The 25,958-nt window shown below is 44.4% G+C and overlaps 1 protein-coding gene and 2 long non-coding RNA genes across 11 annotated transcripts in view, besides 2 other annotated features; 1 reads left to right on the forward strand and 2 right to left on the reverse strand.

Annotated features, from left to right (window-relative positions):
• Window positions 10,631–10,925: a silencer, noted in NCBI's record as "tiled region #5187; HepG2 Repressive non-DNase unmatched - State 22:ReprW". NCBI's record gives its function as "represses a minimal TATA promoter and a strong SV40 promoter by Sharpr-MPRA in HepG2 cells {active_cell/tissue: HepG2}" and the evidence as "EXISTENCE:reporter gene assay evidence [ECO:0000049][PMID:27701403]".
• On the forward strand, window positions 11,502–25,690 carry LEMD1-AS1 (LEMD1 antisense RNA 1). Its single transcript, NR_038425.1, has 4 exons — window positions 11,502–11,684; window positions 17,304–17,575; window positions 20,277–20,394; window positions 23,483–25,690. It is a non-coding gene; the product is annotated as an LEMD1 antisense RNA 1 (long non-coding RNA).
• Window positions 14,471–14,765: a silencer, noted in NCBI's record as "tiled region #658; HepG2 Repressive non-DNase unmatched - State 12:CtcfO, and K562 Repressive DNase unmatched - State 20:ReprD". NCBI's record gives its function as "represses a minimal TATA promoter and a strong SV40 promoter by Sharpr-MPRA in HepG2 and K562 cells {active_cell/tissue: HepG2 | K562}" and the evidence as "EXISTENCE:reporter gene assay evidence [ECO:0000049][PMID:27701403]".
• LOC105371698 (uncharacterized) lies at window positions 15,160–16,900 on the reverse strand. The gene is made up of 3 exons (XR_922462.2): window positions 16,682–16,900; window positions 16,531–16,559; window positions 15,160–15,410 (listed from the first exon to the last, which is right to left on the reverse strand). It is a non-coding gene; the product is annotated as an uncharacterized LOC105371698 (long non-coding RNA).
• The window catches only part of LEMD1 (LEM domain containing 1), a 68,589-nt gene continuing 62,258 nt past the window's right edge, over window positions 19,628–25,958 (reverse strand). For 6 of the 9 annotated variants that reach the window (NR_037583.2, NM_001199051.2, XM_011510163.3 and 3 more), the window contains 2 exons: window positions 22,538–22,614; window positions 19,628–20,106 (listed from right to left, as the gene is read on the reverse strand). Coding sequence is in view for 8 of the 9 variants with exons in the window: in NM_001199051.2 (NP_001185980.1) it covers window positions 19,908–20,106; window positions 22,538–22,614 (276 nt within the window). In the remaining variant the exon portion in view is untranslated. The remainder of the gene's footprint in view (window positions 20,107–22,537; window positions 22,615–25,958) is intronic. The other 3 variants (XM_047434586.1, NM_001199052.2, NM_001001552.5) reach the window with 1 other exon arrangement.

The following is a 25,958-nucleotide window of genomic DNA, read 5'->3' on the forward strand; positions in this document are numbered from 1 at the left end:
CTGAAAGGAACTGGGAATGGCAGCCCTTGCTTGGATGTCATGTCAGAGGACTAGGCACAGTGGTTGACACCTGTAATCCCAGCTCTTGGGAGACTGAGGCAGGAAAATGCTTGAAGCCAGGAGTTTTAGACAAGCCTGGGCACCATAGTGAGACACCTGCAACACCTCCCACCCCCAATCTCTATCAAAAAAAATTAGCCAGGGACAGTTAAATGTGCGTGTAGTCCTAGCTGCTCAGGAGGCTGAGGCAAGAGGATCACTTGAGCCCAGGAGTTCAAGGCTGCAGTGAGCTATGATCACACATCATTGCATTCTAACCTGGGAGATAGAGTGAGACCATGTCTCTTAAAAAAAAAAAAAAAAAAAGAGCGGCGCTTCTCAGAAGGCAGTAGAGAGACCTTGAAAGTTTTTGAGCCAAGAAGTGAAGTGATCAGAGCAGTGTTTGGAATATTAATCTGGCAGCAGCATAAACAGTGTTTAGTCCAGGAGAAGAGTTTCATGATAAGGAGATCACATAGTCTTCCTTTGTGATTATTTGTGGGGCACCCACTATGTGCCAGACACAATGCTAAACACCAGGGGCATGATGGTGAAAAAGAAATGTATAGTTCCTCTCTTAGTGAAGCTTATGAATAAATTAACAAGCAATTGATTTCAATAAAGGGAGGTGCATTTCATCAGAGAAGAACTTGGCCTACTTAGAAGATTATCAAAATAGCCTACTGGTGAGAAGATGAGGACCTAAATTAGGGTCATGGAAATGGGAATGTAAGATGTTTTTGCAAAGCGAGATTTTAGAATATATTCAGGACATGATCAAGTGATTTGACTCTTAATTACAAGCATAGTTGGAGCAGGAGAAAAACAGATCATTAAAATCCAGAGATAACCCCAAATGCCAATTACTCAGGCGTTTCATGCTTCTCTCTCATCCATGGGTTATGACTGTATTTGTGTCTTTATGCACACACAAAACAGTAAAGCATAGTGGTTTCGAGAAAGAGCTTCAAAGACCTAAATGTAAGAGCTAAAACTATACAACTCTCCGGAGAAAACATAAGCATAAATCTTAATGACCTTGGAGTAGGCAATGTTTTCTTAGATATGACAGGAAAGCGCAAGCAACAAAAGGAAAAAATAGATACGTTGTAGCATGTATCAGTACTTTCTTTTTTGCCTAACAATATTTCATTGTATGAATATTCCATGTTTTATTTATCTATTCATCAGTTGACAGGATTTCTTTTAGGGCTGATAAAATGTTCTAAAATTGATTGTGGTGAGGGTTGCACAAATCCATTTGGCAAAAGCCATTGAATTGTACATTTTAAATGGCTGAATTGTGTGGTGTGTGAATTATTTCTCGACAAAGCTGTGTTTCTTTTTAAAGAGCAAAGCCTTGAGCATCAGATAGATATGGGTTCATATCCTAGTTCTCTGCTTGACCCTGAATAAATCAACTTTCTGAGTCTCAGTTTCTTCATCTGTAAAATCGGATTATTATAGTACCTATTTCACAGGACTGTTGAGAGGATTAAATGAAATAATGTGTGTAAAATACTTAGCACAATTCCAGGCATATAAGCTTTATTATTATTTTTTTTATGTTGCCTAGGCTGGTCTCAATCTCCTGGGCTCCAGTGATCCTCCCGCCTTAGCCTCCCAAAGTGCTGAGATTACAGGCGTGAGCCAGCGCACCCAGCCTATAATAAGCTTTTAATTAATGTGACTTATACTAGTAAGGTTGGATGATTAGCAACTTTAGTGTGTGACCACAGACCATCCTTAATTCTAGCACCTTAAGTTATACAAGGGTATTCCCTGAAAACGTCATGGGACTAGGTATACATTTAGGGAAGTAACAGCTGTGCAATCCCACATATCATTTCAAAGCCAAAAAATAGAGTTCTCAGTTGTCAAAACACAATCCTCAGAATTAAAAACCAAAACTAGACGACACTCAGAGTTAAACCAATTCTGGCTTTGATAGCCAAACTCAGTAGGGGGTATTTATATTATCTTCACATCCTTTGAGTGGAATTCTATGAAGATATCTTAGGTAGATATGTGATTGACTAAAAGATGGTATAACCAGGAACAGAGCAGTAAGAAAAAGTTCTGTCATAATTTTCATAGCTTCCACATGTTTATTTTCCATCATCTAAATGTGAACTGTAAAAATTAAATGCTTGTATTTACACAAACAAGTTATACTGTGAAAGCACAGCTGCCTGTGTACATATGAAAAGATTTGTTAACTAGTTTGATTGGAAAATAATGTAAAAAAAATCTTAAGTAGCAACTTTCACAGTTTAAATTTCTTTTATTAATCCTCTTGTCCAACTTAAATGAAGAAAGGCTTACAAGTAAAGAGAAGATAAACAACCAAAGGAGCCCGAATCTCGATAAGAAAGTACCACCTGCATTAATAATAACTACTGAGGTAATAACTGCATATTATTATTATTATTATAATTTTTGAGACAGAGTTTTGCTCTTGTTGCCCAGGCTGGAGTGCAATGGCGCAATCTCGGCTCACTGCAACCTCTGCCTCCTGGGTTCAAGCGATTCTCCTGCCTCAGCCTCCCAAGTAGCTGGGATTACAAGTGTGCACCACCACACCAGGTTAATTTTGTATTTTTAATAGAGACACAGTTTCACTATGTTGGCCAGGCTGGTCTTGAACTCCTGACCTCAAGTGATCTACTCACCTCAGCCTCCCAAAGTGCTGGGATTACAGACTTGAACCACTGCACTTGGCCCATATTATTATTATTATTTGACTAGTCCCCTTTTTTTTTTGAGACGGAGACTCACTCTGTTGCCAAGGCCAGGCTGGAGTGCAATGGTGTGATCTCGGCTCACTGCAACCTCCGCTTCCTGGATTCAAGGGATTGTCCTGCTTCAGCCTCCTGAGTAGCTGGGATTACAGGCATGAGCCACTATACCTGGCTAATTTTTGTATTTTTAGTAGAGACAGGGTTTCGCCATGTTGGTCATGCTGGTTTCGAACTCCTGACCTCAAGTGATCCACCCGCCTTAGCCTTCCAAAGTGCTGGGATTAAAGGCATGAGCCAACATGTCTGGCCTATTTCACTAGTTACTACAAGATGTTTTCTATATATTATTTACTGCCCAAAACTTATGCAAGGGATAAGCCTGTCACCCAGGCTGGATTGCAGTGGCATGATCTCAGCTCACTGTAACCTCTGCCTCCTGAGTTCAAGCAATTCTCTGCCTCAGCCTCCCGAGTAGCTGGGATTACAGGCACCCGCCACCATTCCCTGCTAATTTTTGTATTTTTAGTAGAGACCGGGGTTTCACCATCTTGGCCAGGCTGGTCTTGAATTCCTGACCTCATGATCCACCCACCTCGGCGTCCCAAAGTGCTGAGATTACAGGCATGAGCCACCGTGCCCGGCCGCAAGGGATATATTTTAATCCCCATTTTATTTATTTAGTTTTTGAGATGGGGTCTCACTCTGTTGCCCAGGCTGCAGTGCAGTGGCATGATCTCCGTTCATGCAGGCTTGACCTCCTGAGCTCAAGTGATCCTCCTGCCTCAGCCTCCCCAGTAGCTGGGACTACAGGCATGCATCATCATGCCCGGCTAGTTAAAAAAAATTTTTTTTTTTGAGATAGGGTCTTACTATGTTGCCCAGGCTGACCTCGAACTCTTGGCTCAAGTGATCCTCCTGCCTTGGCCTCCCAAAATGTTGGGATTACAGGTGTGAGCCATGCCTGGTCCCCCCCCATTTTATATAGATAAGAAAGTGGAAGCCTAGAGGTAGTTTTCCAAAATCATAGAAGTATTAAGTGGCAGCACCAGACCCTGAGGCCCCTGAGTCTGATTCCATATAGAAGCTTCTCCTTTTACTACACCACGAGGCCCCAGTAATTCTTGGCCTGATTTGCCAATGAGGAAGAATCTTAGTCATACTCTCACCTTTTGTCTGAGCAAAACTCATTTGAAAATGTTTAACCTTCTCTAAAGTGGTCTTCGTGAAGGCACACTGATGCCTGTGTCTCTCTCCCAGAGATGCTGATGTAATTGGTCGGGGCTGCAGCCTGGGCATCGGAGAGCATTAAAGGGTCCCCAGAAGATTCCGATGGGCAGCCAGGTTGAGAACCATTCACTTAGGGGAATCTGTGCAGTAATGATTCCAAGCCTTTAGCCCAAACCTGCATCGTGAAGGACTCCGAGGAAGTGCCCTGATTCCACTTAGCTTTGGCCAGATCAGATTCACCAGTGAGATGCTGGGCCTTTAAGATAAAGAAGGAAAATGTCCCCTTACCAGGCCTAAGGCATCCTAGCTGACTCTCCTGTTGTAGGCTCCTGTTAGATAAGAAACCCAAACCCGGGGCTCCAAGCCAGCAATCCCAGGGTCAGGCGATTGTTTAACCAGTTTAATTGTTGTGTGAACAAAATGTACCACTGCAGCAGTTTCTGGAATTTGATCTCAGAGGGACCGGCTCTCCTCTCACCTCTGCCTGGTGGCCTGAACAGTAAAGACAGCTGATTAAGCATCCTAGTGCTCTTTCCTCTGGCTCCTGTCTGGTCCTCCAAGAGCAAGGGATGGCTAAGCTCCAAAACACGCTGGGAGAATCGGTGTCATTTCAGGAAATAGACAAGAAAGACATCAAAGGAGAATGACGGGAGTATGATTAGGAGCTGCAGGAGACAAACACCCACGTGGCTTTTCCTCTGGGGTTCTCTATTGTTTGCAAAAACCACAGTATTAAGACACTCTGCCCATTGTGGGGATCATGGAAAAGAAAAGAATTTTAATATTCTGAGTTTTAGTCTTCATGTTAACATAAATCAAAATATAAAATCCATCCTCCCTTTTTCCTTTCAGTATCCACGTATTTTGTTGTTGTTGTTGTTTTGCAATGGAGTCTCATTCTGTCACACAGGCTAGAGTGCAGTGGTGCAATCTCAGCTCACTGCAACCTCTGCCTCCCGGATTCAAGTTCTTCTCGTGTCTCAGACTCCCAAGTAGCTGGGACTACAGGCACAAGCCACCACGCCCAGCTAATTTTTTGTATTTTTAGTAGAGATGGGGTTTTACCATGTTGGCCAGGCTGGTCTTGAACTCCTGACCTCAGGTGATCCACCGGCCTCAGCCTCCCAAAGTGCTGGGATTACAGGCATGAGCCACCAGACCTGGCCCCACATATGTATTAATACCTATTTTTAATCTCAAAATAACTGACCCAGAAGCCTCAACCATCCAGAACTAAAATTTATGAACTTTGACTCATGCAGCAAACATTTAGGCCCTCATTTTGAGTCTCTCACATTTCTTTCTGTTTTTTTGGGGAGGGGGCGAGGGGCAGGGTCTCGCTGTGTCGCCTTGGCTGGAGTTCAGTGGCATGTGAATAGCTGGGTCTACCGGCGTAAGCCACCATGACCGGCTAATTCTTTTATTTCATTTGTTGGTAGAGATAGGGTCTCACCTCACCACGTTGCCCAGGCTGGTCTCAAACTCCTGGGCTCATGCAATCCTCTGGCATCTGCCTCTCAAAGTGCTGGGATTACAGGCGTGAGCCACTGCACCTGGTTTATTTCATTTTAATTCTTATTAAAATTATATTTTTAAATGTATCCCAAATATCCTTTATTGATCTCTATTATCTGCCGGCCCTGGGCTGGGCATTAAACAGACTGATAGATAATTAAGACATCGTCCTCATGCCCTAAGAGCTCACAATCTAGTTGAAAGCTACACATCTGCAATTTACCACATGACAAGTCAGACTAGGCCAAGAGACAATAATGACAATAAAAACCCAATCGATTCTCCTAAGTCTGGTTAGAGGATTTCTCCAACCAATAGCAGATTAGAGTCAGAAAATTCACATGCAGGGAAAAACCGTTTGAGATGGCTGACAGCCTGGAAGCAGGGGAAGAAACAAACAAAACCAGCAACTCAGAAACACAACAGCCTGGCACTGGCTAGTGTAGAGGCAAGTGTCTTACAGGTCTCTGTAGTCCCCTGAAGACATCCCTATTTTAATATGGTTGTAAAATAACATCTGTAATAATTACAGCAAGAGTTGTTGCTAGGTGCTGTACTAAGTGCTTCAGGATAGACTATATCCTTTAGTCCTCACAACCACCCTATGAGATTGATGTCGCTCCTCCACTCCAGATGAAAGACCTGTAGCTCAGCCAGGGCCCTCAGTTGCTAGGTGTGGGGTCAGAATTCGAACCCAGGTCTATCTCCCTTTCCACTCCATCCCTGAAATGATGCTCATGGCTATAACTTCAAAAACACTTAAGAGTTGGCAAGGACTGGGCAAGGTGATTCATGCCTGTAATTCCAATACTTGGAGTCCAAGGAGGGAGGATCACTTGAAGCCAGGGGTTTATGACCAGCCTGGGCAACACAGGGAGAACCCAGCTCTACAAAAAATTTAAAATTAGCTGGGTGTGTTGGTGCATGTCTGTAGTCCTAGCTACTCCAGGAAGCTGAGGTGGGTGGATTGCTTGAGTCTGGGAGGTCGAGGCTGCAGTGAGCCATGATCGTGCCACTGCACTCCAGCCTGGGTGACAGAGCGAGAACTTGTCTCAAAAAAAAAAAAAATAGAGTTGGTAGGAATATCATCTAATTCAATGTCCTCAAAGAAAGGTATAAATTTCAGGAAGATTTCCACCAAATATTGCCCCCATAACACTGTCATGTGTAGGGTTTTGTAGAAGCAGAGCCTCAGACAGGGATCCAGGCATATGATTTATTGCAGTAGTCTCTCCGGAAAGACCTACAAGGGTCTGAAAGCGCAAAAGGGGAAGCAGCCAAACAGACCTGTGGTCCCAGGTAAAGTCTAGCCCTGGCCTGATTCACAGTGGATGGGTAGGGTCTTCTGGAGCATAAATAATATTGCAGAATTATCCTCTCTCCACCTTAATGCTTATTTATTTATTTACTTATTTATTTATTTATTTATTGGAGATGGAGTCTCGCTCTGTTGTCCAGCCTGGAGTGCAATGGTGCGATCTTTGCTCACTGCAACCTCCGCCTCCCGGGCTCAAGTGATTTTCCTGCCTTAGCCACCAGAGTAGCTGGGATTACAGGCATCTGCCACCATGCCCAGCTAATTCTTGTATTTTTGGTAGAGATGGGGTTTCACCATGTTGGCCAGGCTGATCTTGAACTCCTGACTTTAGATAATCCACCCGCCTTGGCCTCCCAAAGTGCTGGGATTACAGACATGAGCCACTGCGCCCGGCCAATACTCCCCCTTTTAAAAATCAGGGTCTCACTCTGTCACCCAGGCTGGAGGGCAGTGGCACAATCTTGGCTTACTGCAGCCTCAACTTCCCGGGCTCAAGCAATCCTCCCATCTCAGCCTCTCGAGGAGCTGGGACTACAGGTGTGCATCATGACGCCTGGCTGATTTTGTTTATTTTTTGTAGAGATGAGGTCTCCCTAGGTTGCCCAGGCTAGTCTCAAAGTCCTGACCTCAAGTGATCCTCCTGCCTTGGCCTCTGAAACTGCTGAGATCATAGGCATAAGCTACTGTGCCCAGGCCACATCAGTCCATCCTTTGGCTGTGGGCTGCCAAAGGGTATAAGGGAGTGGGTGGGTATAAGGGAGGAGGAGAGGCAGCACCCATCATCTGAGGACAACTCTCAGGAGGAGAGGGGCACCCATGAGCCATTAGCAGCCAACCCCCATGCTGCAGAGGTGGGTGTGCTGAGCCAGGGAAGAGGATCTGGGTAGAGCACCAAAACCGCATCCATCCAAACACTCAGGACAGGTTCTAATCATCTGTTTATGGCTCTGCTTCCCCCACTATTGGGTAAGCTTCTTGAGGGAGGGGAGAGTGTCTTACTTGTTATATCCCATCTCCTAGCACAGTGCGCAGCACATAGTAGGCTCTCTATACTTGCCAGCAGAATGATAAACAGGAGAAAAATTGTCATGGCTCTCAAACAGGTAAACCGTAGTTGTCTGGGGAAAAGTGCTGATCGAAAGAGGCATTGCTGGGCATAGGGCCACACTGAACCACATGGGTGGTTGGGCAGAAAGACTCACTGAATACAGAGCCTACAGCCTTCCCATAGCCAGCAGAGCAGAATTTCCTGAGAATGCAGATCTGTTTATCTAAGCAGTACTTCTGCTTCCCCACTTAGGGAGAGCATAGCACATCCAAAAGAACCTTTTGATGGCTTCTTACAAGCAAGAGACATCTGCGCTGTCACTGAGAATTAATTGTAGAAAGCCTAGCCTAAGGAAATGCTCAAGTTTCTCCTTTTTGCTACCAGATTTGGTATAAGCAGGCATGGAACTGGCAGATGATTAGTGATATGTTCCCCACACTTCTCCAAATGGCCTACTTTTGCAAACAACGTCCCACCTTTAAATGAAGCTGCTAGCAAATGTGGAATGCTGCCTATGTTATTTTGCCAAGTTGCAGTATCAGGCTTATAAGTGAAATACAGTACAGGCGACCTCTAGAATCTGCATGGCTGCTACTACTCCCATAAAGTATAAAACCCTTGTACTCTAGAAGCTTACATATTGGGATGTATTTTCCACACTTGTCAAAAATCAAGAAAGATGCATGATATCATCTGACTTCTTTTTTTTTTTTGATACAGGACCTTGCTCTTTTGCCCAGGCTGGAGTGCAGTGGCACAATCTCAGCTCACTGCAACCTCTACCTCCCGGGTTCAAGCAATTCTTCTGTCTCAGCCTCCCAAGTAGCTGGGATTACAGGCATGTGCCACCACACCTGGCTAATTTTTGTGTTTTTTTGGTAGAGATGGAGTTTCACCACGTTGGCTAGGCTGGTCTCAAACTCCTGACCTCAAGTGATCCGCCTACCTCTGCCTTCCAAAGTGCTGAGATTACAGGCCTGCACCCGGCCTCATCTGACTTCTGAATATGGTAGTGAGTGTGGACATCAGATGTAGTAAGGAAGCTGGTTTTACACCAGAAATTAAGAGAGCAAAGGCATAGAGTGTGATGGGAGAGGAGGTGAGAACTATTTCACTAGGTCTCCATTGAGAAAACTAAGAAAATAATGATAAGAATTAGTAGAATTCTTGAGGTAAAAGTGAGTTTGGGGCTAGAAAATGCACATGTGTACCCCAGATCTCTGATAGGCTCTGCTAGAATGATGGCAGTGTTGATGCCATTGCACCTGCCTATAGGTGGGTGTACCCTGCCTATGCTGGCATATTCTGGCTGGGCTCCCATAGGTACACAATGTAGAAGGTCAATGGACTTATCCAGATAGTTTGTCTTGGCCAGAACCTGTTATTAAGGGAGATATGTGGGGGTGGGAATGCTGGCAAACAAAGAAGAAAAAAAAGTAGATGCTACAGACTGGTTACCTACAGAGAGGCAGAAAACAGAATCTCACCTGCAGATGTATTTTGTTTGCCCACAGTTTGTTGCTTTTTAAAATTTTGAATTAGTTGCCAATTTAAATAATTAAGACATTTCACATAAATATCCAGAATATTCCCTTCCTCTTGAAAAGTCTGATCACATTCCTGCATGGATGGTTTGGCTGGGCTGGGAGCTACTACCTCCTCTGTACGCTAGGCAAGACCGTGGGCTCACTCATACAAATGGCCTGACCCCCATGGGTGCTTGAATTTGAGACTCCTGATACTTTGGGTGAATGTTGTGGATAGTTGCTTAGTTTATTTTATAATATATATTGTGAAAGGCCAGGCACAGTGGCTCACGCCTATAATCCCAGCACTTTGGGAGGCTGAGGCAGGCGGATCACCTGAGGTCGGGAGTTTGAGACCAGCCTGGCCAACATGGAGAAACCCCATCTCTATTAAAAATACAAAATTAGCCGGGCATGGTGGTGCATGCCTGTAATCCCAGCTACTCAGGAGGCTGAGGCAGGAGAATCACTTGAACCTGGGAAGCGGAGGTTGCGGTGAGCCGAGATCACACCATTGCACTCCAGCCTGGGCAACAAGAGGGAAACTCCGTCTCAAAAAAATAGTGGTAAAATATACATAACAAAATTTACCATTGTAACCATTTTTAAGGGTACAGTTCAGTGGCACTAAGCACATACATGCTGCTGTGCAGCCATCACCACCATCCATCTTAGAACTTTTTTCATTCTCCAAAATGGATATTCTGTACCCATTAAACAGTAACTCCCCATTCCCCACAGTCTCCAGCTCCGGCAACACCATTCTGCTTTCTATCTCTGTGAATCCGACTACTCCAGGTAGCTCATGTAAATGGAATCATACAGTATTTGTCCTTTTCTGACTGGCTTATTTCACTTAACGTAATGTCTTTAAGCTTCCCCATTGCATAGTTTCTGGCTCAGATCATTCTAGTGCTCATTTTACAGATGAGGAAGCTGAGGCCCCACGGGAGCCTGCCAGGGCAGAGGTAGAATTGGATCCTGGATCTTCTGCTTAGGACACTCTCCCTAACGTTGCCCCGTTGAGGTAAACTGAGGAATGGAGAGACCGATATGGCAGAACAGGAGGATATTTATTTTAAGATATGCACCGGCTCAGTGGATTCACATCCAAAAAGCTGAGCATTGAACAAAGACAGAGCGGGGTTTTTATAAGCGGGCTTACAAAAGCAAAACAAAGGCAGTTAACCATATAGTGCATAACTTGTGGCCTTGCATAGCTGGTGGCCTTGTAGCTGAGACAAAAGAAAAACAAGAACTAGCTAAATACAGACATTTGTAAAACATAGTTATGCTTAAGAAGCCAGGGAAAGGAGTAACAGTAAAGGAATTTGTCTTTCTTTTTTTTCCTTTCAACCTTGCTCTGGAGGAAGGAGTGGGTGTCTGGAGCCCATTCCTTTGGCCTTGGCTTTTCGGACAGCCTTATCTTATAACTGTCCTTGAAGTGAGCTGCTAAGCAGAGGAAAACTTGCTTCTTTTCTTTTTAACCCTTGCCTTGCCTGTTACTTTTCTCGGAGTGAATTAATGCATATTTATTTTTAAATTTCTGCCTCAGCCCTTCTTAGACCAGATCTCACCTTTCTTTTCTAGTAATGCAAGTGAGAGCAACATGTTCTTCACAGCAGCAAAGCCATCCCTGTTCATACAGGTTGTGGAGTTACCCTTCTCTCTGCCAATTTGAAGGGTTGCCCAACATTAATCTGGGAAGGGAAAAAGGCTGCCTCCTAATCAGAACAGTAATGAACATTAATAATCCATTCTCCTTCAAGAGACAAATTTAAAAAAACCCAGTAGCAATAAACTAAAAAAAAAAAAAAAAAAAAAAAAAAAAAAGGACAAACTCATCCTTTCCCCTCCACATATTTTTAGCTAACTCTTGAACCCAAGGAGGATTTTACCAATGGCTCTCCAGGAATTAGAGTTGTCACACCAGTCTCCTGTTGCCAGGAAATGAGGAGAGCTGTCCTCATCCACATCTGCAGTACCTAGAATAGCCCCCTCTGGCTCTCCAGAGATTGATTCATTAGGCAGGGTTGTGTTTAGGTGACGCCCACAAACGAGAACATTCATAGCAGCCATCATTTCTCAGTGAATGCGGTCCTGTAAATGCTGGCGATCTTGTAGCAGTGCTGATTAGCGAGTTGCTCCAACACCTCCTCATAATTTTTTCCTGCTCATCACTCACCTGCTTTGTCAAAATGAACAAGAAGGAAGCATGATTGAGCTGTGCACCGAGGCGGCAAGGAAGCCCTGGATGACCCTCTTAACAGGTTCATTTCTTCTTGAGCAAGCTTGTTAAAAGTTAGCATTGCTTAACACAGGCTAATTGGCTTCCCTTTCATTTTCTTCCATCCAAGTTTCTATCGGGAATCTTCCTCAGAATAAAATGCCAAGTTGGTTAGGCACTTTCTTATTTTAGTCTTGAGATTACGTTCTTGCTTCAGGAAAGAGTCAAGTTTAATTTTACTTCCAAATCAGCCCCTTCTTGTTACTCTAATCAACAAGACTTTTCTTGGCTGGGAGGTAGGGGTAGGGGAGGAAAGGAAGGGAGGAAAAAAAGCAAGAAAAACAACCTCCTAAACATCAACAATCATTTTTCTTGCATGTAAGATTATCAACTACTATAGATATAAACATTGTGGTCTAGCACTTCTTTATTTATGACTGTGGCAATGAAAATAACTTGGTACTTAACCAATTATTTTTAAGAGGTGGTAGCACAGTATTTCTTTGAATGTCGAAGAACAGAAATAGAGCCTTTAAGAATTTCTTCCATCTGCCACCCTGAATATTGACTGGGTAGAGATTTAAACAGCATGCATGCAATAGAATTGGCCTCATCGCCCCATCTGTAGAACACAAGCCTGTGAAATCCAGTGTGTCTGTGTGACATGCAATTAGCTCAATCCTGTTTCTCCAGCCAGGGCTCCACTTCATTGTTTGGCCATGGGATGGAGAACACCTTTGCTGGGTGGCAGGATTGACCCTGCTGTAAATAGTGACATTTATAGGAATGAGGACTTTGGATGCCGTGGGAATGACAGTGTGTTAGAAGGCTAAACACTGCATAATGAGGTTGATTGGGAATGCCTTTCAACAGCAGTTTGCTCATTTTAGGGACTTCTCATCACAGGGATAAACAGGAAGCAAAATCTGGGGTATTGGTTTTGTGGTTTCAAATGTCTATTTGAGTTGGAAACTGCTCAAAATGGAAATGGGCTCTTTCTGGAGGTAGCACAGACATCACTTCGAGAGGAGATCCAGAGATGATTAAGATACAGTCCTCGACACAAGGAGCTCCAAGATTTGTAGGGGAGGCAGACGAGTCATTGAAATTGAAAAAATAAAACACCTCGCTGGCAAGGAGTTTGCTCTTGACAAGAAGAAATCAGTCTCTAGACTAATTCTCTTCCTATTGCTGAGACTAGAGCCCTGCCTTGGAATTTGATTTGGCCCAAGGTCAAGAAAATCTCAAGATCATGGGTCCTTGTATAGCTGGGATAGGGGTGGGTCAATGACTCTGCTGTTGGAGAAGGCACTGAGGTAAGGCCGGTTTTTTACGTACCAGGTCCCCAGCTGTGCTCTAGAAACTGCAGAAACAGAACAAAGCATAAGATTTGAAAACAAACAAATACACTCTGCACGTTGGAAGCAGGAGAAATCTTGGCATAGTATGCTGTTGTGGAGTGAGGGAGATTTTTCTCTTTCTTTATATAGATTCAGGCAGGATTGTGTCTGAGACCAGCACTACGTCTGAATCATTGTGAGTCACTGGGAGGGAGGTATAACTGTGCCCTGTAAGCGGGTCTCAGGGTGGAGAATCACTCTGAAGGATTAAAGGTGGGGCCCTTGGAAAACGATGAATCCTGAAGCAGAAAGCAAAGCTAGCCACTTCAATGCACTTTTAATGGGGTTAGCACTTTTCATTTTCCTAGGATTCTGGGAATGATTCATTTAGCGTTTGGTGTTAAGGTTCTTCCCTCCCCACATTTCAATTTCATATACATTTTCCCTTCCATCTAAAATGTCAGAAAAGCCTGTTACACAGCCTGTGTCACTGTATTGTGGAGAATGTAGGGACAGGGCAGCAGTGGGAGAATTGGCCTGGCCTGCATCAGCTCTCTGCGGAGGTCAGCTTGATGGCAGTGATCCTGGGATGTCAGTCAGCCTCCACTCCCTGGACCTATTTTCCCCAAATTACCAGGGAAAGGTGAGCCTTAAAAAGAAGATCATGAACTGGGTGCAGTGGCTCACACCTGTAATCCCAGCACTTTGGAAGGCCGAGGCAGGTGGATCACCTGAGGTCAAGAGTTCAAGACCAGCCAGGGCAACATGGAGAAACCATATCTCTACTAAAAATACAAAAATCAGCTGGGTGCGGTGGTGCGTTCCTGTAATCCCAGCTACTTGGGAGGCTGAGGCAGGAGAATCACTTGAACCTGGGAGGCGGAGGTTGCAGTGAGCTGAGATCGTGCCACTGCACTCCAGCCTGGGTGACAGAGTGAGACTCTGTTTCAAAAAAAAAAAAAAAAAAGAATCATAAAACACTTGGGTCACATCACAAATACTCAAAAAACAGGGCAAGTGCATTCTTAGAGTTTTCTAAGCAGAGAGGTTTTAACTGTTCCTCTTCACCCCCGATTCCCCTGTCCTATCTATTTGCACTGGGCAATTGCAGCCACAATTCTGTTCTCCCTGGGAGCCCCACAAAGCTATCTCAGCCACCAGCCAGCACCTCATTATTCCTTCTCTGCTGCTTTTGCTCCAGTAGCATTGCCCCATTCACTGCCCGTATCAAAGGCACCCACATTGGGCTGCCCACATCTGTTGCTGCCAATACACTGCAAACTGACCTGCCTCTCCCCTGTCCCAAGTCCCTCAAGGGATTCAGCACACAGCTCCTTGGTTTGGCCCCTCCTTAGAAGCCTGTCTCTCCAGCTCTCATTCAGGGGGCTGTGGCAACTGACACGGAAGACATTCAGGGAGGCAGACACTGTTAGTCCTTAGAAGAGTTACTTTTCTTATGCATTGGCTTCCATTAAAGTTCAAACTTTAACATAGACCATATTTTCCTTCCTATGGTCCCAAGACCCTCTATGATCTGAATCCCACCTTCTTTTCCAGCCGCATCTCTCCCCACCCGCTTCACTCTCTTGTGGCTTCCTAAACCTGCCATGCAGTCTCTCACACACTAGTCTTTGTAAATACTGCTCCCTCGCCTGGCAGACTTTTCCTTTAGCCTCGCCCACTTTTCCCTTATTTGGACTGAGTCCTACTCATCCTTCTGGCTTCAGCTGTGATACCACTTTTTCTAGGAAGCTACCCCTGTCTATTCCCAATATAGGAGAAGGTTGCTCTTTTGTGCTTCCAGGGTACCCTATGCCATCATCAAAAGGATGTCACTTAACACCGTACTATCTGTTGACTTTTCCATCTCTCCTGTCAGACTGTGTGTTCCTTAAGAGCAGGAACTATATCCTATACTGATTAAAAAAATTTTTTTTTAGAGACAGGGTCTTGCTCTGTCACCCAGGGGGAGTGCAGTGGCACAATAATAGCTCACTGCAGCCTCCTTGAAATCCTGGGCCCAAGTGATCCTCTGGGCTCAGCCTCCTGAGTAGCTAATTTTTCTTTTCTTCTTCTTCTTTATTTTTTTCGTAGAGACAGTCTTGCTATGTTGCTTAGGTTGGTCTTCAACTCCCAGCCTCAAGTGATCCTCCCACCTCTGCCTACCAAAGCGCTAGGATTACAGATGTGAGTCACTGTGCCTGGCTGGTTTTATTTGTCATTTTATTGCAAGGGAACAAGAGGTGCTAATCGACTGTTGAATAGATGGTGACACATTGCCTGGGACCAAACTTGTATGCCTTGAGTCTCTTCTTTTAAGACAAGTTTTTCTCCAAGAGGGAACACGTCCCCACTGCACTTAGGTTCCTGATAGGCTTAACTCATTGGTCCTCTGGCCTGAGTTTTAGAGACTCCTCCTATATATGGATCTATTAGAGATAGGAAAAAAACAAAAGTGTTTTTTCATTTATTTGTTTGTTTTGGGGTTTTTTGTTGTTGTTGTTTTGTTTTTTTGAGACAGGGTCTCACTTTGTCACCCAGGCTGGAGTGTAGTATCGAAACCATGGCTCACTATATCCTCGACCTCCAGGGTTCAACGATCCTCCCACCTCAGTCACCCAAGTAGCTGAGGCTACAGGCATGCACCACCATACATGGATAATTTTTGTATTTTTTGTAGAGACAGGGTTTTGCTATGTTGCTTAGGCTGGTCTCAAACTCCTCAGCTCAAGCGATCTGCCCGCCTCAGCCTCCCAGAGTGTTGGGATTATAGGTGTAAGCCACCATGCCTGGCCAACCAAAGTGTTTTTTTCTACTCCCACCCACCACAACAGTTCTGACACCAGATGTGTGGGTTTTTTCCCCACACACCAAGCAATTCTGGCACCAAATTCTCCATCAGACACCAACTGGATGCCCTATAATTTAATTCAATTCCAACACTGTCTGCCTAGGCACAGCATCAGATCCCACAGGTTCGGGGCTCAGTCTCAGAAGACTGCCCCCCACTTCCAATGCCAGTTAAGAACCCTACATTGTGACCTGTGCTTCTGAACAACCGACTATAAATCAAGGTTCCTAGGACCCTCTCCTTGGGTTAGATTAATTTCCCAGGGTGGTTCACAAAACTAAGGGAAACACTTCCCTTACATGTATTGGTTTAATAATAAAGGGTGCAGATGAGCATTCAGATGGAAGAGATGCACAGGGTGAAGCATGTGGGAAGGGGCACGGAGCTCCGCGCTGTTTCTAGCACTCCACCCTCCAGGCATCTCCACAGGTTCAGCTACCCAGAACCTGCTTCTGAACCCACTCCTTCTGGGTTTTTATAGCGGCTTCATTATGGAGGCAAGATTGATTAAATCACTGGCCATTGATGATTGACTTAACCTTCAGTTCATCTCCCTTTCCTGGAGTTTGGGGGGATGGGACTGAAAGTTCTAACCCTAGAATCCTGCCTTGATCTTTCTGGTGACCTGTCCCCATCCTGAAGCTATCTAGTGGCCGCCAGCCACCAGTCATGTCAAATAGCATAAAAAAGACACTTACCATTCAGGAGATTCCAACAGTTTTAGGAACTGTGTGCCAGGAACCGGGGCAGAGACAAAATATAAATTTTTTATTATATCACTATATCACAGCATCTGATAGGGATGGGCCACCACAATGCTTCCCAAACTTTAATTTGGGTAGGAATCACCTGGGATCCTGTTGAAATGCAGATTCTGGCTCAGTAGTTGGGACGGAGCCTGAGATGCTGATACTGCTGGTTGGGAACTCACACCTTGAATGGTCAGACACAAAAGTAATTGTCTGTGCAGTCTCTTTAAACTGATTCCAGAATTCTAACATAAAAGAACTGGGAAAAGTTGAAAATAATGGAGGAAACTTTCTAGAAGTTTTATTTTTTATCATGTTTGGTTTTATTAAGAACGGAAGTATTGGTGGAGCGCAGTGGCTCACGCCTGTAAACCCAGCACTTTGGGAGGATCACATGAGCCCAGGAGTTCGGAACCAGCCTGGGCAACACGGTGAAACCCCATCTCTATAAAAAATACAAAAAAAATTAGCCAGATATGGTGGCACATGCCTGTAGTCCCAGCTACTCGGGAGGCTGAGGTGGGAGGTTCACTTGAGCCCGGGAGGTGGAGGTTGCGGTGATCCACCACACTCCAGCCTGGGTAATAGAGTGAGACCCTGTCTCAAAACAAACAAACCAAACAACACAACAGAAGTTTTCTTTTTTAAGTGCATGTGGCCACCACTGTAGGTTGGCTCTGCTTACTCCTATGACCAATCCTCTTCTCCCTCTTCTAACACAGAGGCTGCCAAGGCTCCAGCGCCCACTTTCTCAGCCTCCCTTGCTGCTCAGGATGAAATATGTAGAGCTGGAGAAGAGACATGGTTAGTCCTTACGTCCTGCCTTAAATGATGATGTGATGGCCATTATCTGGATCCTTCATGGAATTTCGGCAGTTCCAACGTGTCAGGCCAGTGTCTGGGATTCTCTCAGCCTTTCGCTTTTTCCCCTGGGAGTCGGACAGCTGCTGCAGCTCAGTCAGACCAAACCTCTCTGAATACCACCAAGAATCGGGTCAGTTTCGCATCTCCTTGATCATAATTTTTTCTGCAGCTGGTTTGTTTGAATCAGAATTATATTACATTTTTGGTCATTTTAAACAATATTGGACATCTTAAACTCTAGACTTTTTTTTGTTTTTGAGACGGAGTTTCAAAAAACTCAGGCTGTAGTGCAATGGCATGATCTTGGCTCACCGCAACCTCCACCTCTCGGGTTCAAGTGATTCTCCTGCCTCAGCCTCCCGAGTAGCTGGGATTACAGGCATGTGCCACCACGCCTGGCTAATTTTGTATTTTTAGTAGAGACACGGTTTGTCCATGTTGGTCAGGCTGGTCTTGAACTTCCAACCTCAGGTGATCCTCCCACCTAGGCCTCCCAAAGTGCTGGAATTACAGGGTTGAGCCACAGCGCCTGGCCCTAGACTTCTTTTTATGAGATAAAAATAAATCTCTGTTTAAGCCAGTCTTACTAGAGTTTTATGATCCTTGCATTCAAACTGTAATACAGTATGCAGTTTTTCAAAAATTTCTTCTTCTTTTTTTGTTTTATAGGCAGGATCTTGCTATGTTGTCCAGGCTGGTCTCAAACCCCTGGCCTCAAGCGATCCTCCCACCTCAGCCTCCCAAAGTGCTGGGATTACAAGCATGAGCCACCACATCCAGACAGAATGCAATTTTTAAAAATTAATATTTATATTCTCTCATTAGCAAACTGATACACACTACTTACAGAAATCTTTAAAAATATTTAAAAAGTAGAAATAGGGGGAAAAATTAGAGCTCCAGTCACCGAAGTACTCTTAACATTTTGACATATTTTCTTCCAGTGTTGTGCAGTTGTGATAATATGGTACAACAAATTTGTGTCCTTTTTTGTTTACCATTAAAATGAGCACCTTAAGAATTTCTTTTTGGAATGATGAAAATATTCTAAAATTTATTGCGGGAATGATTGCATAACCCTATGAATATACTAAAAATCATTGAACTGTAACCCTCAGTAGGTGAATTATATGGCATATAAATTATTTATCTCTCTCTCTACATATATATATTTTAAGAGATAGGGCCCAGGCTGGAGTGAAGTAGTGTGATCACAACTCACTGCAGCCTTGAACTCCTGGACTCAAGCAATTCCCCTATCTCAGCCTTCCACAATAAAGCTATTTTTTAAAAAAATTTTTAAATAAGCATTTTCAGGCTGGGCATGGTGGCTCATGCCTGTAATCCCAGCACTTTGGGAGGCCGAGGCAGGTGGATCATGAGCCCGGGCTGTTGCCCAGGCTGAAGTGCAGTGGCACGATCTCTGCTTACTGCAACCTCTGCCTCCTGGGTTCAAGTGATTCTCCTGACTCAGCCTCCCGAGTAGCTGGGACTACAGGCATGCGCCACCACACCCGGCTAATTTTTTGTATTTTTAGTAGAGACAAGGTTTCGCCATGTTGGCCAGGCTGGTCTTGAACTCCCGACCTCAAGTGATCCACCCACTTCGGCCTCCCAAAGTGCTGGGATTACAGGCGTGAGCCACCATGCCCAGCCTTTGGTGCTTTTTTGTACCTAGAATTAGCTCCTCCCATATTGTGCCAAAGTGTAACATTGCTTAAGCATTTATTGAGTGCTTGCTACAAGTCAGGTGTGGACCACACTAAGTCCACTACTCACATTATTTCCTCAAATTCTTCATCACCCTAAGAGGCCTATTCTACCCCTATTTTTGAAAGCTGAAATTGAAACTCCAGGAGGACAACTAACTCACCCAAGGTCACAGGGCCGATAAAGAGAGGAGCCGGGTGCCTACACAGCTCTGCCTGGTCCCTGAGGCCATGGTTATTACATTCCTTTGTCAGATGGTAATTTTTTAGAACCTTGCTAAGTTTCAAAGGCAAAAATGCTATCCTGTTCTAAATTGTTTTCATGGTGTTGGACATTTCTTTGTGTTTACTAAACTAGACACATTCTTCTGCTGTAAATTAGCTGTTTCCCAGAATTGGCTATACAATTGGAGGAGTGAATAAAATGCGACCTATGGCTTGTCACCATACTTAGAAAGAAAAACGCCAGACAGTTTCCTTGTTTGACGCCTGCTCAAATATGGAAGCACCTTTAATGAGAGTTGACATGACTTGGGGGATTTCCTAACCATCATGCTCTTAACACAGGTGCCTGGTTAGGCAGGTTCCTTCCACCTGGCTGAGCCCAGACACCGATCTGTGAGAGCAGCACAGTGCAAGGGAAGGCTCCCTGCAAGGGAGGGCTGCAGGCTAGGCTGGCCCTTCAGGGTAGTGTTTTGGTTCTTTCCTGAAGCAGGAGGCCTCGCTTGGAGCATTGCTTTGCTCCTAAATTACTTAACCAAACAGCGACTTATTTTCCACAGTCAGGTAGACAAACACCACAATGATGAAAATACCAAGCACAGCAAGCTTCAAGCCCACTGGGAAACCTTCTTCTCTCCAGCTCTCGATAGTCTGGTCTTCCGCGCAGTAGTCTCTCTCTTTGGTGATAGTCCCATATGTGATTCTGGTGCTTGGTGCTCTTGCAGCCCACCTGTGAAAACATCAGTGGCTCTTAGGATTGTGGACAGCTGTGGTGCACTTGAGTAGCCCCTTAAAGTGTGTGGGTCTTGAAGCCCAAGGGTGCAGTCATGGTGGGGCTTTAGAGGTAGCCTCTCCTTACTAAAAACCTAGGCTAATTTCTTTTTTTTTCTTTTAAGACAGGATCTTGTTCTGTTGTCCAGGCTGGAGTGCAGTGGTACAATCACAGCTCACTGCAGCCTTAACCTCCTGGGCTCAAGACATCCTCCCACGTCTGCCTCTCGAGTAGCTCGGACCACAGGTACATGCCACCACCCCCAGCTAATTAAAAAAAAAAATTTCGTAGGCCAGGTGTGGTGGTTCACACCTGTAATTCCAGCACTTTGGGAGGCCAAGGCAGGCAGACTGCTTGAGCCCAGGAGTTCGAAACCCTGTCTCTACAAAAAATATAAAAATTAGCTGGGCATGGAGGCTGAGATGGGAGAATCAGTTGAGCCGAGGAGTTTGAGGCTGCAGTGTACTATGATTGTGCCACTGCACTCCAGCCTGGGTGGCAGAATGAGACCCTGTCTCCAAAAAAATTAAAAAATAAATTTTTTTGTAGAGACGAGGGCTCACCATGTTGCCCAGGCTGGTCTCAAACTCCTGGGCTCAAGGGATCCTCCCACCTCAGCCTCCCAAAGTGCTGGGATTACAGGCGTGAGCCACTGTGCCCAGTCTCTAATTTCAACAAGTGATACTAACAGCGTATTGGGGGATATGAGGTCTCTCAAATCCCACAAAACATTTCTTCATTGTTTCCACCCACTTGTGTATCACTTCTCAATGCCGGCATAAAGCCTGACTTGGCACAGGCCTTGCAGATCCCCAAGTCCTCGCTGGGAAATTGTATAAGTGGATGGGAAGCCTCAGTACTCAGGCCCCCTCCTTCCTCCCTTCTCAAGTACAAACACCACCTTTCAGGGTGGAGAGGAAAAGCGCCTTTGCAATCTGCTTATTTTGCACTTAAAAAGGCAAGAGTACTTTCTGAAATTTTTTTGCAAGAGCCTTATGTTTCCACTAGCCTAATTCTGCAAAACCTGCTGAAGTTTATTCAGAAGTTAGGAAACTCTCCAGAAAGCTTTACTTTCTGACTAATACAATTGCCTGTCTTGAGCTTTTATTTGAACTACTTACTCTTTTTATTCGTTTTTAAAAATTGATACATAATAGATTTACATATTTGAGGGTATATGTAATTTTATATTACATACATATTTTTTTGAGACAGGGTCTCACTCTGTTGCCCAGGCTGGAATGCAGTGGCGTGATCATAGCTCACTGCATTGCAGCCTTGAACTCCTGGGCTCAACTAATCCTTCTGCGTCAGCCTCCCAGGTAACTGGGACTGTAGGCACATACCACCATGCCTGGCTAATTTTTAAATTTTTCTGTAGAGACAGGATCTCACTATTTTGCTTAAGCTGATCTCAAACTCCTGGCCTCAAGTGATCCTCCTACCTCAGCCTCCCAAAATGCTGGGATTACAGGCATGAGCCACTGTGCCCAGCCAACATGTGCTATTCTGATACCTTCATATAATGTGTAAAGATCAAATCAGGGTAATTAGGATATCCACCACCTTAAATATTTATCTTCTCTTTATGCTAGGAATGTTTAAATTATTCTCTTCTAGCTATTTTGAAGTGTTCAATAGGTTATTGTTAACTAAAGCCACTCTTCTGACCTATTGAACCCTAGGTCTTATTTATCCTATTTAACTGTGTATTTATATCCTTTTTTTTTTTTCTTTTTTCTTTTTTTTTTTTGAGGCAGAGTCTCGCTCTGTCACCCAGGCTGGAGTGCAGTGGCATGATCTCGGCTCACAGCAAGCTCCGCCTCCCTGGTTCAAGCAATTCCCCTGCCTCAGCCTCCCGAGTAGCTGGGATTACAGGCGCATGCCACCACGTCTGGCTAATTTTTTTGTGTTTTTAGTAGAGATGGGGTTTCACCATGTTGGCCAGACTGGTCTCGAACTCCTGACCTCAGGCAATCCATCTGCCTCAGCCTCCCAAAGTGCTGGGATTACAGGCAAGAGCCACCGCACCCGGCCTTATATCCTTTACATTTTTTTTTTTTTTTTTGCCTCTTGCCCACCTTCCAAGGCACAAATAGAAAGAAATGTTTCCAAATGGCTACACATCAGGAGACTTGGGCTGTGATCTCAGTCCACTGCGACTTTTGCCCTGTCTTCCCAGTTCTCCCGGGCCTATTTCCTTATCTCTAAATATGAACAATGAACTAGTAACTTTGGCTTTGAAATTGTTGGATATTACAAATCTTTCTCCTTTCTCAACAGATTCTTTTCAGGCTAAACCCTTCACAGAAATCTGAATAATTAGTTTTTTCCAGAGCTACAGAATACAATAATATCAATTTCCACATATGCTAAAAAACATCATTACCTTCTTCCCTTGGAAGGCTTATAATCCAAGCAATAGGTATCTACAGCTTTGCGTTTAGTGGTGGAAGCCTCAGGCCACTGATAAACAGAAAGAAAATGTCAAGAGGAATTTGTTTCCAATGTCTTATACAAATAACCTTGGTTTTTATTCTAGAAAAAGTCACATAATATGCCAAAAGTTCTTGGCACATTAGGTAGTTTGGTACTTTAAAATACAAACTTGTTTGTCTTTATTCAAGAATTAGCAAAAACATCTAAGTTCCATGGAGTAATATTTTACTTCAGTGACTCGCATGAGAACAATACACATACAAGGGACTAGGGCCACGTGATGAGAACAGCACTCTGTTCTTAAATATCAGCTCTATTTTGCTTCTTTATTTGTACTTTATTGCTTGGAGCTCTTTTTTATGAGCATGCATCATTTTCTACAAAGAATAAAGTAATTTTAACAAAGCAAGTTGACTATGAACAAGGACTAGAAAATAATTTAGGAGAACGAAATGTTGCTTTGTAAGAGAAGTAGGAGCAATTGTAGGGGACTCCCAGGAATGTGAAGATGGGATGTCAGATGATGTTGCTAATTCTATTGATCAAGCGCTAAGCCCCATTTACCCATTAACTCACTGAGGCCTTCCAGTGAGCACCACCTGCGAGGGAGCACTCCACCCCTATCTAGTAAGCACTATTCTGTTCTGGAAATGAGTCTGAGACACAGAAAGGTTAAGTAACTTGCTAGAGGCTACACAGTATTATCAGTGGAGAACTACGTGCTTGGACTACTACACTAGACTTCTCTCTACCCTTCAGTTTCTAAAAGTAATTTCCCCCATAGGAAATCTTGATTACTCTCATCCACTCAGATCACTCTTCTATGCTATATTTCTTCAGCCCTAATATACACATTTTGTACTGTAGTGTTTTGTTTGTTTGTTTTTGGAGACAGAGTCACCCAGGCTGGAGTGTAGTGGCACGATCTTGGCTAACTGTAACCTCTGCCTCCTGGGTTCAAGTAATTCTCCTGCCTCAGCCTTCTAAGTAGCTGAGATTACAGGCACTCTTCGCCGCGCCTGGCTAATTTTTGTATAATATTTTTAGCAGAGACGGGGTTTTGTCATGTTGGCTAGGCTGGTCTCAAACACCTGGCCTCAAGCAATCCACCCGCCTCAGCCTCCCAAAGTGCTGGGATTACAGGTGTGAGCCACTGTGTCCAGCCCTTATGTTTTATTTATTCATTTAACAATTATTTGTTGCGTGCTGCTGAGTGCCAGGCCTGACGCCGGCTGTGAAGATTTCAGAAGGGCCTGCCAAACCGTCCCTGTCCAAAACAGCTCACTATCAAGCATGGTTATTTTGTAAGTGTTCTGCACTGGCTTCCTTCTTCCCTAATCAGACCATCTGTTGGATCTCATGGAGCTGTCTCCTATTTCTCTGTAATCAAGCCACAGTATCTAACATTTGGGGCCACTGGTAACTTGCCGTCTACTCCCATGCTGGAAGCCCAGGACCCTTGAACATAAGAGGCGCCTTCTGACACCTGCGGTGCTGTCAGAGCCTGCAGGCTGCAGACAGTGAGTCAGGAACTGGAGAATTCCCAGGAGTGGTATAAGGAGCTGGGACTCGCGTCAGACAGGGAAAGGACTGACAGAGACCAGGACAGAACAAGAAGCACAAGGAAAGTCAAGAGGAGAGTAATGACCGCAATCCCAAGGTAGACTGGACTGGAGTGTCTGGAGGGTCCGACAGGAGAAGGGCATTTGTGTTCATCACGGAGCTACTAGGAGAAAGAAGAGCCTGGGTCTTAGCAAGGATGTGGTCAGGACACAACAATAGAGTGGACCCCTCCAGTGAGTGTGGACTATGACTTATGGCAGGCCCAAGGGTCCCAGCGCAGGGTGGGGTGGGGAGGGCATGGCTTGCTGTAGCATCACGCACTGCTAGTCACCATCTACCCAGTACAGGTCACCAATGATGGAACAGCTACAGCCTCCTCCCCTTCCCCTGTACTCCCTGTGCCCCCTTCTTTTTTTTTTTTGAGATGGAGTCTCGTTCTGTCACCCAGGCTGGAGTGCAGTGGCGCGATCTCGGCTTACTGCAAGCTGCGCCTCCCAGGTTCACGCCATTCTCCTGCCTCAGCCTCTCGAGTAGCTGGGACTACAGGCACCTGCCACGATGCCTGGCTAATTTTTTATATTTTTTAGTAGAGGTGGGGTTTCACTGTGTTAGCCAGGATGGTCTCGATCTCCTGACCTTGTGATCCGCCCGCCTCAGCCTCCCAAAGTGCTGGGATTACAGGCCTGAGCCACCGCGCCCGGCCCCTGTGCCCCCCTTCTTAAACATGTTCTCAACAGTGGTTTAGCGATACCCAAGCAAGGCCTTTGCATATGTGGGAAGTTGTGCACCATGCAAGAGTGCCACATGCAAACAGCACCTTTCCCCGTGTAGACACTGTAGATTTACATACCCTTACCACATACCCTTCCAGGAACAGGGAAGCAAAGGCTCTTGAGGAAGAGATTTCCCACAAAGGTGCTATGTGGGTTAGTGTTGGCATGCTCACCAAGAGATATTTCAAGCTATTTCCAAGGGTATTGGAAAAATCATTTATAAGCAAATTCTTTTTTTACTTATGGAAAATTTTAAGCATATACAAAAATAGACAACAGTATCATGAACCTCTACATATCCATCACATGCAACTTCTTTTTAATTCGCTTAAATTTAAAAATAGATACGTGAAATAAAGCATTTGGGGCAGAAGTTCATTGCAAAATCAAATGATAGAATTTCACAGCTCCTAGGCAATCAAATACTCCCCTTGTGCCATAAGGAGATTTAGGCCTTTTATTTCCTTTTCTTTTACAATTTGTTTTCTTTGCTATCATTCATATGTAGAGTTCTCCTGCAGTATGTAGAAGGTGGACATTGTCATTTTCAAAAATGGAGTAATTATGGCCTATCTACCTGACTGTGCAGCTATCAATAATAATTATTATTATAAAGGCCATATAACAGGGAAAAGCATTATTGATTAGTGTTAATAAACGGTATAAATTGTACATAAACAGTGATGTCTACTGTGTGAACATATACTAGATATGCATGTAAACAAAAACTAGAGGTAAATTGAAAAAATAAAATCAGTTTTTGCATCAAGTGGTGTGTTTGCAGTTGATTTATATTTCATCTTTTAAAAAATTCCATTAATGCTGTTATAATATGATTTTCACTATAAACAACATTTACAGTGGAGCTAAAAAATATTGGTGTTTATTAAAGCAGTGGCTCAGTGAGGGTAAATGGCACCCAGGAGACACATAATATCTTTGCTCTCTTCTCCTTAGGCCCAGAGCTAGAATCTGCAAAGATGGCTGTTTTAGCAAAGCATTTGGAGCCCAGAGCTGGGGAATATGTGGCCCCCT

Source organism: Homo sapiens, chromosome 1 (assembly GCF_000001405.40).
Source record: "Homo sapiens chromosome 1, GRCh38.p14 Primary Assembly".
Classification (NCBI taxonomy): Eukaryota; Metazoa; Chordata; class Mammalia; order Primates; family Hominidae; genus Homo; species Homo sapiens.